Below are 19,723 nucleotides of genomic sequence, written 5' to 3' on the forward strand. Positions count from 1 at the left end.
CATTCTGTAGGTTGCCTGTTCACTCTGATGGTGGTTTCTTTTGCTTTGCAGAAGCTCTTTAGTTTAATTAGATCCTATTTGTCAATTTTGGCTTTTGTTGCCATTGTTTTTAGTGTTTTAGACATGAAGTCCTTGCCCATGCCTATGTCCTGAATGGTATTGCCTAGGTCTTCTTCCAGGGTTTTTATGGTTTTAGGTCTAACATGTAAGTCTTTAATCCATCTTGAATTAATTTTTGTGGCACATATACACCATGGAATACTATGCAGCCATAAAAAATGATGAGTTCATGTCCTTTGCAGGGACATGGATGAAGCTGGAAACCATCATTCTCAGCAAACTACCGCAACGACAAAAAGCCAAACACTGCATGTTCTCATTCATAGGTGGGAATTGAACAATGAGAACACATGGACACAGGAAGGGGAACATCACACACCGGGGACTGTTGTGGGGTGGGGGGAGGGGGGAGGGATAGCATTAGGTCATATACCTAATGCTAAATGACAAGTTAATGGGTGCAGCACACCAACATGGCACATGTATACATATGTAACAAACCTGCACGTTGTGCACATGTACCCTAAAACTTAAAGTATAATAATAATAATAATAATAATAAAGAAATAAAATAAAATGTGTACTTATTTAAAAGCTATCAGAAATAATTTTGAGTTGTATGTACATACGTAAAATTATATATTTTGAAAATTTCATATTAACTTAAAGTCTTCCTATGAAGTTTTCAATGCTTTTAATATATTGGCTAATTCAACATGCCTCACTGGTCTGCCACCTTGAATCAAGGGCTGCACTATATGTTGAGTCAGATACCAAGTTGAATTCATCAATCCAATAAAGAAGCTTGTATTTCAGTTTATGGAATAAGTATAAAGTAATAAGTACCCTATGTGATAAATTCTATTAACAGCAGGAAGCATAAAAAGCCCACAGAAAAGAGAAATTAAATTGGTAGGGAACTAAGGAAGCCTTCAAGAGAAAATGACATTTGGAGCAGACCTTGAAGGATGAGTTCACGTGTAGTAGTTAGGGGCTCCCCTGGTACTAAGATATTAAGTACACCTCTAAGACTTTATGATGACAGGGGGATGACACATTCCAAGGATCTGTATATGTTTATCTTTTTGAAAGTTGTGAAAATTCAGTATAGTATGAAAAGGTAGAATGGAATTTTAGAATTTAGAATTTTAGAAAAAAATTTTAAAATTTTTTAAAAAATCACTTTTAAAACAATGACAATTCTTTGTTTTTATGTTAATTCATGTGTATTTTTCATTTATGTCTTTCGAATAGCATATACATTGACTAATGTGTGTTTAATAGATTATACAAATTACTTTTTAATATTTTCATTTTATAGGACAAGAAAAGATATTGAAAAGCGGAGGTGAATATTTTTAAATGAAGAGGGGCTTCTAATGTTCACCTAAAAATGAATGAAGTAGAGCATACAGATCTCTTCCCACTTTCAATTATTGCCAGGCAGTGGCCAAAGGGAAGTTCAACTCCTTTGTGACTTCTGACAGCAAGAAAGAACCATAAAAGGTATTTCAATGCACCTTCCCATGTTCACAGAACAATTATGTCTTCCCTCTTTCCAAAGAGCTGAGATAGAAGTACAATGTTTGATCCATGCCCATCTGAAAGGATGATGAAGTTCAGGTTGTGTGAGGACACTAAAAAGTTCAGCAAGTTGGCAAAGTGGTCCAAGGTTACAGGAAGAATTATGTCATTTACATTGAACGGGTGCAGCAGAAAAAGACTGGGCTAATAGGACAACTATTCGTTTGGGCATTGCCCCAGCAAGGTGGTTATTAGGTTGGAAGTGAAAAAAACCCACAAAAGATCCTTGAATGGAAAGCCAAATCTCACCAAGTGGGAAAGGAACAGGACAAACATAAGATAGAAACGATAGAGATGGTGCAGGAATAAAGTAGTCTTATATACAATTTTCATTACAAACTACTAAAATGAAAAAAAAATTAATAGAGTAATAACAACTTGTTGTTATTAAATAAGGCCTGACAGTGACACACCAGGTAAAAAACGTTCACTTTTAATGAATCTGTGGGCTTATCTGTGAAAATACATACATACATATATATATATATATATATATATATATATATATATATATATATATATATATATGCTGTGAAAAAAATATATATAGAAGATTAGTAAAGATTTCTTAAAAGCATATAATTTTCAGCTCCTCAGATATTCCTGGTCAACATAATGCAACAACCTCCTTCAGAATTTTGAAAATAGTTATGCTTTTAAAATATGTAATCTTAAATGGGCACAAGCTTTTGTTGGCTCCTGGCCTATTTGCAGTCTTCTTTTTTTTCCACTCACCATCTGAATTATCACATGTACTGTAGAATTCTGACAATTTCACCTGTCAGTTTCTTTATACTCATGTCTTGAATATGGTAGATTTTACCTCACCAATTGGCTGGGGATACATTAATTGCAATTTGTTTTAAGTGTAATATTTATACACATTTCTAAAATTTTCAGTATAGAGCTGTCACTCTGTGAAGAAATAGAGCCTTCCTGTCCAGATTCCACATCATTCATATATATTTCTCTGAATGTTAAAAATATAAAATGAGGAATGGAAAAAACTTTAAGAAGCATATAATTACAACACTAATTTTATAGATGGGCATACTCAGACTAGAATGTAAATCAAGAACCAAGTGCTCCAACTGTAATTCCTTTTTGACTATTCCATTCTACCTTTTCATACTACACTGAAGTTTCACAACTTTCCAAAAGATAAATATATACAGATCCTTGGAATGTGTCATCCCCCTGTCATCATAAAGTCTTAAAGGTGTACTTTAATATCTTAGTACCAGGGGAGCCCCTAACTACTGTTAATTAGCTTTTTGTGCCTAGAGAAGATTTTGTGTGAGTGTTCGTTTTCAGCTACCTTCAGAGAGCAAATCATGTCAACATGTCTCTGATTACCTTCCATGAAGAACACCAACTCAAATGACGTGCAGGTGCCAAACGTTGAAGAACTGCTGTAAGCATCACTTTTAGTAAATAAAATTAAATTTGTCAGCTTATGGGGGCTATTTTCTAAAAATAGTCCCAGGTTCATATTTGTTGTAATTAAATTAAAACTAGAAAACATCAGTTATCTGTAGAAAATACATGTTTAGGCCACGCACGGTGGCTCACACCGGTAATCCCCGCACTTTGGGAGGCCGAGGAGGGCGGATCACAAGGTCAGGAGATGGGGACCCTCCTGGCTAACATGGTGAAACCCCGTTTCGAACTTAAAAATACAAAAAATTAGACGGGCATGGTGGTGGGCGCCTGTAGTCCCAGCTACTCAGGAGGCTGCAGGAGAATGGCGTGAACCCGGGAGGCAGAGCCTGCAGTGAGTCGAGATCGCGCCACTGCACTCCAGCCTAGGTGACAGAGCAAGACTCCATCTCCAAAAAAAAAAAAAAGAAAAAAAAAAAAGCATGTTTAGCCATAAGAAATTGATGACAAAACTATCCATAGACATAGCTTTAACATGGTCCTTTGACATTAAAAATATCTGAGAAGAGGCCTATAGGTCATGCCACAAAAATGATCTATTATGGGGTATGCTGTGTGGTGGTGGAAAAAAATCAGGTAAAAGGCACATTCTTTTAAATGTTGTGCTATTTCAAAGTTGTAGTACCAGATGAAGAAAAATTTGATGAACAGACTGAGCAATCCGGTATTGTTATTTTTCTAATTAAAATAATAAAGTAGCATTAATTATCAAAACAGTTAACCCTCTCAATAGCTAAAACATGTAAAAACTGACATACCAAAGTTAAATCAGTTACCATTTTGACAAACAAACAAAGGGAAGCTAAGGCGTACCAGGGGTAGCATGCAGGCCCCATAAAAATGCAGCAGAATTAAAGATCAATCGTGTTTTGCTCCTATTGGAAAATTGAATATGTAAATAACAGATCTTTGAAATATACTTTGTGTGTGGGATTGTGCTATTAAAAGTAAATTTGAAACCATCCTCTTCTCGGTAATAATTAATAAGAAATATAAAGTCCTTCTCTAACCTTATCCTTTAAATTTATCAACTCTAGCAGGTCTGTTGAGTTCTGACCTTCATGCCTCCTTTTAGGGATTCCCAACTGCCTAAAGCATCCTTGCAGTTCTATCTGATCTGTCAACAGCTTTTAATACCAGCATTTTGGGGGATTCTGTTATCCTGTGAAATTTAATCTCACCTATTTAAGCTTGCAGAAAGTACTGGAGGGAATTATTAACAGATTTTCCCTCATCTTCTTAGAGGATAGTGTCGAGTGATTGGCTGGTTTCCCTAAGGACCCATGGCTGAGAAGCGCTAGTTTGTCAGTAGCATCCTATTTAGCATGTGTGTGAGGCCACAAGGGAGCTGGAAAGACACTTGGAATCAGAATTACATCAATATGCTGATGATGCCTGCATATCTTCATTTCATCAAACCTATATCCTTTAGTATTAATGCTTTCTTAGCCAAGATGGAAAGTACCTCCACACAGCACACTGTTTGTGACTCTAATTAGACAGCTGGAAAGCATGTTGATGATACATCAGAGCAGTGGACCAGCAACCTCAGCATCACAAGGAAACTTGTTAAAAATGCAAATTCTCAGACCCACCCCAGACTTACTGAATCAGCAACTCTAGGGACAGGGCCCAGCAATCTGTGTTTAACAAGCCCTCTAGGTGACTTAATGCACCCTAAAGTTTGAAAACCTCTACATTAGAGAAATGGGATGTGTTTGTCACTACAGAGTCTATTGGATGATGTCTCCTACTTTTGTGGATTAAAACATTCCTGAGTCTAACCATATAGTTCTTGGTTACTAACCACATAATATACATGGTCTCAAACAATTCCATGTGTATGGTTAAGCTTTGTGCCCCCACTCAATTCTCATTTTGAATTGTAATCCCCATAATCCCCACCTGTCAAGGGAGAATCATGGGGGTGGTTCCCCCATGCTGTTCTCATGATGGTGAGTGAGTTCTCACAGATCTGATGATTGTATAAGTGGCTCTTATCTTTTTGCTCAGCACTTCTCCTTCCTGCCACCTTGTGAAGAAGGTGCCTTGCTTTCCTCCATGATCGTTAAGTTTCCTGAGGCCTCCCCAGTCATGCTGAACTGTGAGTCAATTAAACCTCTTGCCTTTATAAATTACCCAGTCTCGGGCAGTTCTTCACAGCAGTATGAAAATGGACTAATAAACCATGTTAAATGTAACTGGCTTCTGTCATAATTCATATTTGTCACTAAAGGATAAGTAAACTTCATATTGTTCTGTATTTCCCTCACTCAGAGAATGAGAATTAGACTGCACCATCAGACATATACATGTTGACATGCCTAATGGTGAGGCATTTTACTGACAAACCATGCTATTTCCAAATTACACCCAAGAGTCCATGACCATTAAATAACACACATATTTGACGACATCTCTAAATGTCCCTGTCCCTCAATCTTCACTGACTCTAAAGAAACCAAATGTGGCTGAAGTTTTTACTAGGGGAGACAGTGTAGGAGAAAGAAGACAATTACTCAAGAAATTAGGGCCAATATTAAATTCTTCATATTGGCTAAAAATTATGTGCTAGACCTAACCTTTCAAAACCTGTATCTTAAAGTAGATAATGATATTGGACCTGTACTCTCCTGACTTTCCAGTTTCATGAGTGTTAGCACTGCAATATTTTGGCTCCTCTTTTGATGTATACAAAACCAAGCAATGGCCATAAAGGATTAACACTGAAACTTCTATGAATGCCAAAAGTTCCCAGTCCTTACATGGTATTACCCCTGGTAAGAGAATCAATCCTGAAAACTTTGCATAATCTAATCATATATTACTTATTATTCCATCTCTCCAAGAAATTTTGCCTATAATTATGAGATGAACCTTCAAAGGCCTACTGTTATAATATTTATCTAACTTGGAAGGTATTAGCCCGTGTAATGCTAGAAAGCCTTCGGTGCTGATTCCCTCCAGTAAATATTCATTCCACAATTATTGGTTGAATCTTTTATAGGTAGCACCCAAGGTGCTAAACAGGCGGAAGGTAAAAGTGACCCAGAGAGATGATCATGGCCCTTTCTCTCATGAAGCTCAAGGTCAATTAGTTTTAATATCATATAAAAATTTGGTTAATTGTAAGCTAATAATAAAATAATTCAAACAATCTAACATTTGTTCTTCTAGTTTTAATTAAGACCAGACCCATTTGAGTTCTACTAAGCTCTACTGCAGGCAGGTTACCTATTATCTCAAGGATCTGTTGCTTCTCAACACTTTGGTAATCAAGTTTCAGGCAGCTGAGCTCTGGCCTTCCAAGGTGCTATGCCTCTACTCTGATCCTGTGCTTCTTGTAATCTACTCACATTAACCAATAGCTCACTCTTTTACTTAGCCCCTGACTAGCCTCTCTGCTTCTGATGCCACTCCACTATAGTCAATTCTCAGCAGAGTAGCCATTTTAAAATTTAAATCAGAGCTTGGCACTTCTCTGTTCAAAGCAGCCCAGTGATTTTTCTCTTTCAATGAGAGTAAAAGCTAAAGGTCTTATGAATGCCTACAATACATAATCCGGTCAGCCACATTCTGTCCTCTCTTACTCTATTCTGATGATACTGGCGTTTTTTCTATTCCACAAATCCAGAAGACTTCCACAATAAAGGGTGAAGGCATTTAGCTTGCCATGGAATGTTTATCTCCTGGATGCCTACTTTCCCTCAACTTCCTCATCTCTTTGTTCAAAAATCATCTCATCGGAGAGGTCTTCCAGGGCCACCCTGTTTAAAATGGCAAACCCTGCCTTCTCTTCCACCATTATCCTCATCTCTCACACACTCATTATACTCCTATATTAATTTTTCTCCACAGTTCTAATTACTTTTCAATATATTATTTATGTGACAGTTTATTTGTTTAATTATTGGGTATCTTCTGTCACTAGGTACAAATTCCATGAGGGCATGAAATTCTAACTGGTTTGCTGACTGTTGTATCTAAGTTGCCCAGAACAATACCTGGTACATAATAGATGCTCAGTAAATGTAGTTTTAATAAATGAATGAATGAATGAATAAATAAATTCATACCGCTACCCTCTTCTTATCTGGTCTCAGTTTGTTTGTGTCTTAGTTCTACCTAAGACAGAAGAAATAACCACCATTCATTTCCAGTGACCCTTGCAAATGGAAGATGACTATGATATAAAATGTGAAGTAAATTGATATTGCCAATCAGTGTCATCTTCCCCTTCCAACCCTCAAGAAGTCACCTTTGGTAATGAAACTTTTCTAACATTGGAATCAGAAGGATAAGACTTAATATTTAAAATGTTTAGTTCAAAACCTATTTCTCAAGTACAAACTATGTGCCAGGTCCTGTGCTATGCACAGGAATACAAAGATCAAAATGTTTCTTTCTATGTGTAAAAAAAAACCATGATTACACTAATTATTGCCTAAGACTGTATCCCAGGAAAAAAAAAAAAGAAACCTATGATCATAAAAACTACCTTGGATTTTATAAAAAAGTCTAAAAAGGGTAGATTGGATGGAGAAAAGTCCAGATAATAAACGTGGAATTTGAAACTCAGCCATGAACCAATGGTGACCCTGATATTTTGGTAAGATTAATTTGTAATGTGGGTAATCTACATATGACAAATTACCTATTGACTACAGCTATAATTCTTGCCTAGTATAGAGACTCCAAACACATTCAGGCATTCCGAAGCAAGTCAAGTTCATAATACTGATTTGATTTAAATGAGTAATTTATCTTTCTATAAATACATTTGGTTCTTGTTCTCAGAACTAATATTCTTTATAAGGTATTATATTTCTCTAATAGCATTAAAATTTGAGAAGTGTGTAGTACATGTAAATAGCCGATACCTCACCCAAGACTACTCACCAGTCACTGGTAAGAATGAAATGATTTTAAACATGTTATTATTACTATTTTTTTGAGACAGAGTCTCTCTCTGTCACCCAGGCTGGAGTGCAGTGGCACGATCTGGGCTCACTGCAAGCTCCGCCTCCCGGGTTCACGCCATTCTCCTGCCTCAGCCTCCTGAGTAGCTGGGATTACAGGCGCCCACCACCACGCCCGGCTAATTTTTTTGTATTTTTAGTAGAGACGGGGTTTCACCGTGTTAGTCAGGATGGTCTTGATCTCCTGACCTTGTGATCCGCCGGCCTCAGCCTCCCAAAGTGCTGGGATTACAGGCGTGAGCCACCGCGCACAGCCAAACGTTATTTTTAGTATGCTAACTAACTACTAATTTTGAGTAGTGCTTATATTAGAGCACTTTAAAAATATACATGACACCCTTTTCTTTCTATTTGCTTCACAAATAATGAACTGACTGAAAGTATGACCAAGGTATACATCTTAGAATGCAGTCTGTAAATTGGCTTACGGAAAATTCCGTATGTGTCTTATTACCACATTCTTCTAATATGCATACATTTTGTGAAGAGTACCTACTATTCAGGATATGGAAGACTTAGCACTTTACATTGTTACTAGTTACATAGAATACATTTCAAGCATATTAACACTAACAAGAAGCCCTTGAGTATTGACAAAGATTAAATTTCTCATTTTACCCAAATCAGTATTACAAATTTTCTTTTACTTGGAATGTCTGAATTAGAAAAGAAACAATTATGTGTAGCCCTGAAATTTTTAAACTTGAATTTGACAATTTCAACATTCTAGCGATTTAAACATTAACAGTTTCATCTCCTAAAATCTGTTGGAGTACAACTCCATATTTTCTGATGGTTCCATTTTACCTCCTCAGGGACAGCTCTTATATTAACAAAGCCTTTTCTGAAGACGATGAACACACGGCGAGCTCCACAACGTAGAGCAGATGTTGCACAGTCAAAGGCAGTGTCTCCAGCTCCAAGTACAATCACGACTCCCCGTATCGATGGCAATGGAGAGTGACAGGCGCACATTCCTGAATGATGAAAGGAAAACCCCATTTTCAAGTAGAGAAACCATTTCTGCATGACAGCTCAAAAGATACTTGTACTCAAAGCAGTGTAAAATTGCATCTTGCAGTTTTCCAGGATGAAGTGTCACTATCAAATTATTCTGCTTCATTGAAAGACAGTTTTATTCCCATTTTAAAAATATGCTCATATATGTAATTTCATAGTCAGTATCTTTAGTTTCTTTTTTCTTCTAGGATTCCTACAACACATTTTGAGAAGTTTAGGTCATAACAGACTGGAATCAATCAATTAAAACTCTCTTCATCAAAATTGTGCTATCTATCTTTAACTCAGCATAATTTTCCTTTTGCTAGAAGAAAAAAGTGATCCTTATGATCTGTGTTAACGGTTTGCAATATTTCATTATAATACTTTTTTATGTATTACCTTATATAATTTCTAACACATACCTCTGTTATATATTTTGTTAACTTTGAATATTAACGTGCTGAATAAGTGTCCTTTATGTAACTGAAGAATTTCTGAGAACTATTTTCTTGAAATAGTTCAAATAAATCTTTCTCCCTTTCACTGCTTTCCTCTGGTTTTGTTTGTGAAACTGGGCAGTAAAAGAAATATGACTTTCTAAGCATCCATTTCTCAAGGTCATCTCTATTAAGATTTGCTGTCCATATGAAGATCCTTGTAAAAAAAGTAAAATGCAAGTATTCCTTATGTGTTAGGTAGCAGTGTATAATAAGATTAAATAAAACTGTTTATAAGATCAATTACTATAATTTTTTAAATGGTACCAAGAATAGAATAAACCTATAATTTCAATAAGTGTAATCATTTTGCTTGGAAGATTTTGTATTTGGGACACTCTGTAATTTTCAAATACAAGCTAGGTGCACTATGACCTTCCTCAGAAAGGGTTTCAGACATACAAACATCCAGTTCTACTGAGAGGCAGAAGGTGGAGAGGGTATGCATCTTTAGCTGTAAACTTCTGAAGAATAATTTAATATAGAAAGTTTCTTACTGTTTTAAGTCCTGGGAGAAGCATAAAAGTTTGTATCATTTCTACATGTAATTAATGTAGGAATAGCTGTGGCTCAGACCTCTTTAAAAATATACATTTGAAGGATTTAGATTATCTGACTTTGGATAAAATATTACAATTTTCCCCAAAGACAATGACTCTGGTCAGGCCAAACCAAGGTACAACCTTCATTCAGGTGGTTCTTCTTGGGGTGTATAAAGTGATAGGGTGTCTATCAAAGTATTTTATTTTAACATCATAAAATTACTGTTTAAGAGAAGACAGTCAATCTTTCTGCCTGTGTAGATACAAATCATATAAGATATGTGACGATTCATGCCATTTCTTTGAAAAACATCTTCCAATGTTTGTTAAGGACTTGCTTACCTTGAAGCAATTTTTCATGATGTAGTTTAGACATATATATTACAGTGAAAATTCCTTACGATGATACTTTATTGGAAGAATGAACAAACAGATGATTCTGGCAAACTGTTATACCCGGCCTTTTTTTTTTTAATTTTACATTTGGGTCTTAGGCAAGGTTGGGTGTGAGAGCTGAACAATGTGCTGCTGAGCTTGATTTTGATATTAATTTATCATAAATAAAATAGCATACTCACTATTAAGCATAAAAGACAATATGTTATACCTGCTTTACTGCCTTTGGCTACAAGTGGCAAAAAGTCTTTGGATGTATAAAACCCCTGGTCCTGCGTCAGGCCTTGGAAGATGGCATCTTTATTGGGTTCTGGCAAACCTAAGTAATCAAATTTATAAAATATCATTAGCAGGAGGAGGGGCTTTTCCTATTAGATATTAAAACAAAAAAGAAAACTTTAATCTTTGAAATAATGTCATTCTTAGAGGAAAACATCTGTAAGCAAATCAATATAAAATGTACATAATACAGTCTAACGGATCTCAGAGTATATTATGTATATCTTTAATATATAACCAAGTACACATCGTAAATCACACATTAATGTATACCTATAAATATATGGAAACATATGTATATACACACATAAACATATATAACATTACAGGGAAAATCAGGTTATATTCTTGCCTCATATCATAAATAAGTCAGTTTCAGCTACATTAAAGTACTAAATATAAAAAAAGTTAAAAATGGGTACATATTTATCTAATTCCTGAATAAGTAAAATCATTTCTTTTTTAATGAAAGAAAAAAATTAAAGGAAAAAACAATGTATTTTGCCACAATAATTCAACCACTGCTAAATTTAAAAAATATAAATGAATTAAAACGAAAATTATTAACCAAGAAGATGTTTTAATAATTAAATGTCTTTACTGTATAAATTCTCCAAATCAGTAAGGAACATATTAGCTTTTCAATGGAAACATAAAGAATAATAAAAATTGGGAGAAGAAAAAATATAAATCACCTATAAGCACTAAAAATATTAACTCCATTAAGTCATTAAACTGCAAATTAAAAGAATAAAATTGTAACTTCTCTATAAAAAGAAAAATATTTAAGAAAATTAAACTATACACCAAGGGTAGACATGGAACTTGTCATACTCTTTCAGTGGAAATATACATTGGTGTTCAATATCTAGAAAATAGTCTTAAATCTATCTTAAGAAAATACTGACACATGCAAATAAAGGTTTAATGCACAAAAATGATTAATACAGAAAGAGGAAAATAAGATGAGAGAGTACCAGAATGTCAGGTAAATGAAGAAATTAGTTTTACCGTATAAAAGAAAAAGACAACAGAACGAATATTTGAGAAATATGGTATAAGATTGTAATCAAAATACAGTCTTAAATGAACCTGCAGGATTCAAAACTCTGTATAGTATAATTCAAATTTTGTAAAAAAATGTATTAATATAAACCATGTAATCTAAACAGAGATCATTTAGAGTGGTGGTATTAAGGATATTCCAATTTTTATTATTTCCTTATTTTCCAAATTTTCTACATTGTACATATATCAACTATAAATTAGTAAATTCTTACCAAAACTTTGAAAGGAAAATAAATGGCAGACTAAATTTTTTCCAAAGTGTAAATGAAGAAAATCTTATAGCAGTCACCCCATCCAAGGCAAGTAGAGAAATAATTCATCTCAATTCCATAAATGCAGGGGAAAACATGTAGTTTTATTTTATTACTAAGACTCATTCTACCAATGGGTCATTCTAGAGAGGCAGGAGTTTATTTTACAATGAAATGAAGGGCAATGGACATTTGCTGGTAGATACAGAGTAATAAGCATAGCCGAAGGATGACTTTTGTCATATGAGATAAGGTGGGTGCCATATCTGATCTGAAAGCTGAAGGTTTCTGTGGGTTGCCTGTAATCAGCAATAAACCACCATTGTCTCTTCAGATTAAACCAAACATTTTTCTTCCCCATCCAGCATCCCCTGAATCTCCTTTTCCATAGCATTTGCTCATAAATGATTTTAAAAGAACTTTTGCTTTCAAAATGATTTCCATTATGTAGTAGCATAGTTAGGGGAGCCACCTCACCTGCCTTTGCCTCAGCTTCTCTGTAAAGGAAATGGGGATAAGACTGTTTCCCCCTTTTATGACATAAAAAGGTATATTAGTAACAGAAACAATTATATAAATGGGTGGCCGTTTATGTGATTCTTTTAGAAAACCTGGGTTGGAGGGATGGGGTTGGTAAAAATAGCTGAATATGTTCTTGAAGGCTCTCTAATGACAAAATGATTTCTTCTGAAACCTGTTAAAAGAAGACTGAAGTTAGGTCTACATTTGACTATTCAAACCAACATATACATATGCTACATATAATTAGCTTTTCTTTCCAGTTTATTTAGCCACACCCCAGGTCACACATAGGGCCTCAAGGTCCACGGAGCCCTCCTCCTCTACCTGGGTGACAGGTCATCCCTTCTGGCCAGGGACAGTGCATCTGAAGGTCTCCATGTGGATACTTTGATAGTCTATGCTAATCATAGTGCTGTGGGATGATCAGAAGCAGGGATTTTGTCACTAGACAGACTTTGGTATGAGTCCTTCCTCTCTCATTTACCAGTTCTGTGGTATTGTATAAGTTCCTGTGAATCCTGTGAAGGTTAGGGTTAGATGTCAATTTGGCTAGGCTATAACACCCGTTAGTCAATCAAACACTAAGGTAGGTATTGCTGGGAAAGCCTTTTGTTGATGTGATTAATATCTACAACCACTTGACTTTAAGGAGATTGCCTCAATAATGTGGGTGGGCCCTATCCAATCAATTAATCAAAAGGCCTTAAGAACAAAATTGTGGTTTCCCTGAGGAAGGAGAAATTCTGTCTTAAGTCTGCACAATCAGCTCCTACTTGGGAGTTCCAGTCTCCTGTCCTGCGCTAAGGAGTTGGACTTACCAGCTCCCACAATTAAATAGCCCAATTCCCTAAAATAAGTCATCTCTATCTACCCATCTGTCCATCCTACTAATTATGTTTTTCTGGAGAACCCTGAAATTGATTTTCCACTACTTCATTTCTAAAAACAGAGATAAAAATTCTACTTCTCTCATGGATGTGAGATTTTTTAAAAATGTTAAAAAAATTACAAAATTATGAAAATATTAAAAATATATCCATATGGATAAACCATATATATAATTGAGAGCTGGCACATCGTGAATACTCATTAAACATTAGCTATTAATATTAAGATAGGTTTATTCTATAATTTATCAATTATTTCATACTTCATATTGCATGGCAAGGAAAGAATAAAAGCTTAAATAAAAATAAAGTATTAAACCTTAGCATATGTAAATCAAGTTCCACAAAGAAAGAAAAATGAGGCAACCTTAAGTGAAATATGAAAGAAAATGAAACTTGCAAATAGTCATCTATCAAAGGAAGACTTCTCTGAGAGTAGGTGGCATATTAATAAATAAGGTATGTGTCTATACTAGGATGATTTCAAAATGACACTGAAATGACTTTTTAATTCACCTTTCAGTGTGAAAAAGAGAGTTTATGAATAAAGATGAATTGACAAAGATTTGACAAACAAAACAGTTCAGCGTAGTAGATATGTATAGTCTTTGTCTTTCAAGGAGGCCGGATAGTTTGTTTCTTTAGAATAGTTATTGAAGTTTTTGGTGTTTTAGCATGCATTTATACAAAGGAACACCTCCTTAAGAATTATTTTTAAATGGTGATTTTCACGTTCTCTGAAAAAGAAGGGAGGGAGGGAGGGAAGGAGGGAGGGAGGGAGGAACGAAGGAAGGAAGGAAGGATCCTGCTTATGTTACAGAAAATTTAAATTAACTTTTATTGACTACAGACACTACTCTAAATGCCTGGCCCCCAGGTGATTATTATATAACTCATTTTAATTCTCAAAATAATTGTATGAGGCAACTGATGTTATTATCCACATTTTAAATATGAGGAAATTGAGGCATATAGGGATTAAGTAACTCGCTGAAGGATCACAGAACATGTAAGAAGCAGCGCCAATTTCTAACGTGGACACTGGTTGTAGAGTCTATGTTATGAGTTCAAAATGGCTGCCTTTTTCATGTTTAAGGTTATAACTAGGCCAGGTTATAATGTGAAGCTACATAACCAGTCCTATCTAAAGTAATCATTCAACATGTATGTATTAAGTTTCTCTACAAGGCTGCAGATATGCGTACCTCACAGGATGTGTCTGCAGCCAGGTTCCAATCTAGTGACAGAGAAAGGACTGGCTGCTTCTCTTGTCAGCATTTTTGTTTTGTGATTATTTTCTCCAGTACAATCCCTTTCTGAAATGTTTTCCTTCTTAAGTGAATTCCTCTTGGGTATATCCTGGTTATTTTTCACTATTTGATATTCTTTGAAATGTGTATCCTTGCATTGTTGCCAAAGCACCTCCCTCTGGAACAACTACAGAATAAATAACAGCAGTATATATAGTAAATTCTTTCCTTGTGCTCACATAAAGTTTTGCACAACTTCAGTTAACATGAACAAGATATTAGATGTTCTGTTACATATTAAAATCTAGGAAGTAATAAGAGAAAAAAAAAAGCTTTTAAGGCTTTGCTTTCATAGCTATGGTAGGGCATGTTTAAGAATTACTCAGATTCTATAATGTTTGCTTGTGTTACTTCACCAAGCCACTTGTTTAGTGTTAACTGAATGATGCAAGCATTTGTGTGATGCTTCCTGTCCTTGAAAGGATTCATCTGAATGACAGCTAAGCCATCATGAGAAAGACAGTCATCTTTGGAGATAGACTCACAAATCCCAGGTGTGAAGAAGATAGCACAGACCACAGAGAAACTACCTCAGGTCCCTGGCCAAAGGCTGTGGCTCACAGAAATGGGTGATGCTGGCCAGTCACGGTGGCTCCTGCCTGTAATCCCAGCACTTTGTGAGGCCAAGGTGGGTGGATCACTTGAGGTCAGGAATTCGAGATCAGCCTGACCAACATGACAAAAACCCATCTCCACAAAAAAAAAAAAAAAAAAAAAAAAAAAAAAAAAAAATTAGCCGGGCGTGCTGGCTCATGCCTGTAATCCCAGCTATTCCAGAGGCTGAGGCACAAGAATCGCTGCACCTGGGAGGCAGAGGTTGCAGTGAGCTGAGATCGCACCACTGCACTCCAGGCTGGGTGACAGAGTGAGACTCTGTCTCAAAAAAACAAAAACAAAAACAAAAACAAATGGACAATGCTCTAGTATACTGAACTCTACAGGAACACCAATTCTTATTATTTCACACAGGTGCTTTTTCAATAAGACTTTGGTAGACAAATAAAACAACACTGATTGTCACTACTCTCAAGTTTTCTGGATGAGATCAGCAAAATGTAGCTGATGGCAAATACCGTAAGTTTTTCACCTTCCAAAGTACTTTTGTATGTGAGATCTCACATGTTATGTTACTCAGTCCTTATTTTCTAATGCTGGCTTGGGAAATGGTGCTGCATTAGGGACAGTATTAAAATATACAGATTAAACATGTATTTATGGAATAAACCAGGCTAACTTCCCCCTCTGTCTTAGTAAAAGAAAAATCCATGTAACAACTTTTGTCTTTATTTTTGTTTATTAAATCTTATAAAATATCTTAAGGCCGACTGACCTATTTGTATAATTATTTGTAAACAGTATACTGGATAGGACTGAAAACTCTGAAGTCAGACTTCCTGCATTAAAATTCTAGTTCTAGCACTTACTAGCTATTATGACCTTGGCCAAATAAATTATACTTTCTGGGCAACAGCTTCCTCATCACAGGACTGTTGGGAGAATTAACACGAAAAACAGGTATATAAAGCTCTTTGCACAGATGTGAAATAAATGTTTCCTTTAATTTTCTTTGCTTCCTTAAAGCCTTTGTTTGACTTAATGAAATGATACGTTTGAGTACATATAAGTTAAATGATCATCTAATCCATGATATACACAGTTTATATTATTACATATTTAAGTGGTCAGTATTGGATAGGTAGTATCACAGTCCACGAAACTTAGCATCTTTGGCTAAAATGAAAGGATGTAGCCACATAAGAGTATTATTCTAACTTCATTCATTCTATAGACTACAATGAACTCCAGCTACATGTGCATCAAAACAAGGAAAGTATTAACAGCAAGATAAAGTCCACTCCTGCTCAAAGTGTCATTCAAATTGGAGCATTAAGAACAAAATCATGTCTCAGACAGCATTGACCTAGGGTCTAAAGAACTGGGTTCTAATCTCATTATTTCCATTTTCTAACTGTAATTGAATAAAATTGCTTAATCCTGTGGCTTTCAAACTCCTTGATTTTAGAATGCAGACAACCCTGCTTACTATACAGGGTTCTTTGGAAAATTAGGTAGAAAAGTGCACATAAAGCATGCTGGTAAATCTAAAATAACATTAAAATGTAAGTCATTATTACTGTCTTTGGTAAAATATAAAAACTATGGGGGAAAAAGGCTTACATGATAAAGAGATTCATAATAAACACTTTCAAATAAAGAAGATATTGCAAACTAATCATAAGCCATTTGGGTGGCTGTATACAGGATGTGTAAAAGTAGGTAGAAAATCATAAATATATGCATCTATGTATATATATGTTTATATATGTATTAGAGAAGATAAGCTATTCCTGATTCAAGCCCAAGCAGTTGAGATTACAATATGGAAGTAAAATATTCCTTTCAAGTGTCTAACTAAGCATGTCGCAGTTCCACAATGGATTATAAAGTGTTTCATCTGTCACTTAAAGATCACTCAAAGGATTTATGTCTTACTTCTAAGGGACAATAGTGCCATATGGGTTATCATTCTAGGATCTATATATTGATGAGAAAGAGAATAGATCAATGATGGCCTATTGTGGTTCTTTTCTCAATAAAACTCCCCATTTTCTTCCCGATGTGCTGCTGTAAATGCGTTTAGTACTGAGTGTTCAGACAGAATGCAGAAAAAAATGGAGTGATTCAATATAACACATATGAAATTAGATCACCATGCATCACAATAATATTCATTTCATTGATTTTTGAAATCCCCATTAAACATCTGTTTCATATAACTGCTGTCTATACTCTTTCTCTAAATGTGACCACACACATTAATTGTGTGTATCACACAATTGGTTAGAGAATAACAAGAACATTTTTAAAAATGTTATGAATGGAGACACCATTTAAATAGTATTTTTTTCCATTACACAAGATTCTTTTTGTACACCAGCACATAACAATAAGTCCAGAACCAAGTGGATTACTGAGTATTATTATATCATTTTGAAAATCTGATACATGCTGAATTTCTCTTTGTATTTAATGTATAAAACAGTACAATTTTAAAAAGCACTAGAAAAGAGAATAAAATAATCAAATAATTTTTATGAAGTTATAGTATTTCAATTGGCTTCTATACTTCATGTAGAAAACACACAAATTCTATCGTGCCAATGTAATTACTTCACCTAACTTCATGTTAGAACTTATATCAGACTTCAATTTAGAATATCTACAGGTGAGAAAGGATGTGAACATATTCTTTATAACAAAGCAATGAATGTATTAAGAAGTACAAGTACACATATGAAATGAATTGAATTTGAGTGGTTGAAATTCTTATAGAGGATTTTTTATCTGTAATAAATGTCCAGTGATTTAATACAAACACAATGAGAATATGGGTTCACCATGCATTTTTGGTCTCATACTTTTTACTTCCTTTATACATTTGGAAAAAATACATAGATTTTATTTTGTTTAACAAAATTATGGCTTTCTTTATGGAGATGGATAAAATATCCTTGAGTATATTGTACTTTTATAACAGATCATGTCTATATTAGGATCTGTTGCATCTTTTCTTCTATCTATAGGACATTATGACACAATGAGAACAACAAACCCTTTGGACAAAAAAAAGAAGTACCTTTTTCTTCATTATTATTTTATAATATTGCAATTTGCTTATAATTAGTAGAAGTTATTGCAATAATTGAAATTATACTTTAATATAAGCATTTGGTTTAGTTGAAACATTTCTAGAAAAGATGTTAATGTAATTTCATATTTCAGCCATAAATTTATCCTCATTACTCTGCTTTATGGTATTATTTATTAAAGTATACTTTGTCTCTTGAGCCTTTTCTCTTCTCCTTTTCTTTATTTCCCTCCCTTCTATTTTCTCTGTTTCTTTTTCTCATTTGGCTTTTGCTATAAAACAATTTCCTTAAATTTTAATCCCCGCATTGTGAAGTAAGGGTAAGCAAAAATCTCAAACAATACGCCTCAGGCAAAGATTTTTTTTCTTAATGATTGGAGTTCTTAGATAGTGTTAGGAAATTACTGTTTAGGACTGTGTAAGTACACTATATCCCAAAGTAAAGAAATCATTAATAATAAAATACTAAAAAGGAACAGTTATATTACAAAATAAATCTTCCAGGCTTACAAAGAAAACAAATTTGCAACAGCCACCTGCTGTGGAGATGAGGCAGTAATCTCAACAGCAGGAAATAAAAGGAAAGAGAGGAGAAAAATACAAAAGCACAGACATTAAAAAAGTAATTAAAACACTTATCTCCATCGACATACATAACGGAAAAAAACCCTCAACCAACCACCTAAAAACATACTCTATTGAACTGCACAGTAGGAAACAGCATTAAAGCTGCCACCATAAACACACATTCCGTAGAAGGAAGAAGACCCCTTTAAAAATGTAATATCAAAAGTATTACTAAAGTGTTAATCACCAGTAAATGTAACTCACATTCATTGTATTGTATTAGTTACTTTCTGGAAGGCGTTTTTAAAAATTGTACTTTTACATTTTTTACTCAAGTAAATTCTTAAACACAGGCACTGATAACCCCTTTATCAGTAATTGTTCTAGCAAATTATACAATCATATTGTGAGACTGAAACATTCTGTATTTGAAAAACTTTATGTAATAATTGTTAACATATCATGCATCTTGATAATGGCATTTAAACAGTTTCCTTTGAAGTAAACTAGCCTTTGCTATAGTACTGGAAAAAAATGAGGTGAAACACAATGTATGAGTTAGGGTCATGGATTAAAACGGAAATGAAAGCTAAGAATCGTTCTGAATTACTCATGTATGCTCTGGCCTTCAGAGCTCTGCAAAGTGAAACAATGCAAGACTGAGGAAGCAAGTGGCAGGCTTTAAAATAA

The 19,723-nt window shown here is 34.6% G+C and overlaps 1 protein-coding gene and 1 pseudogene across 6 annotated transcripts in view; one reads left to right on the plus strand and one right to left on the minus strand.

Moving 5' to 3' along the window:
* Window positions 1-19,723, minus strand: part of DPYD (dihydropyrimidine dehydrogenase) — an 843,317-nt gene that overhangs the window by 506,605 nt on the left and 316,989 nt on the right. For all 6 annotated transcript variants that reach the window (XM_047448077.1, XM_017000507.2, XM_005270562.3 and 3 more), the window contains 2 exons: window positions 10,712-10,819; window positions 8,871-9,040 (listed from right to left, as the gene is read on the minus strand). In XM_047448077.1, the coding sequence (XP_047304033.1) occupies window positions 8,871-9,040; window positions 10,712-10,819 (278 nt within the window). The remainder of the gene's footprint in view (window positions 1-8,870; window positions 9,041-10,711; window positions 10,820-19,723) is intronic.
* Window positions 1,519-1,953, plus strand: RPL26P9 (ribosomal protein L26 pseudogene 9; annotated as a pseudogene).

The sequence above is a fragment of the Homo sapiens genome, chromosome 1 (genome assembly GCF_000001405.40).
Source record: "Homo sapiens chromosome 1, GRCh38.p14 Primary Assembly".
Classification (NCBI taxonomy): domain Eukaryota; kingdom Metazoa; phylum Chordata; class Mammalia; order Primates; family Hominidae; genus Homo; species Homo sapiens.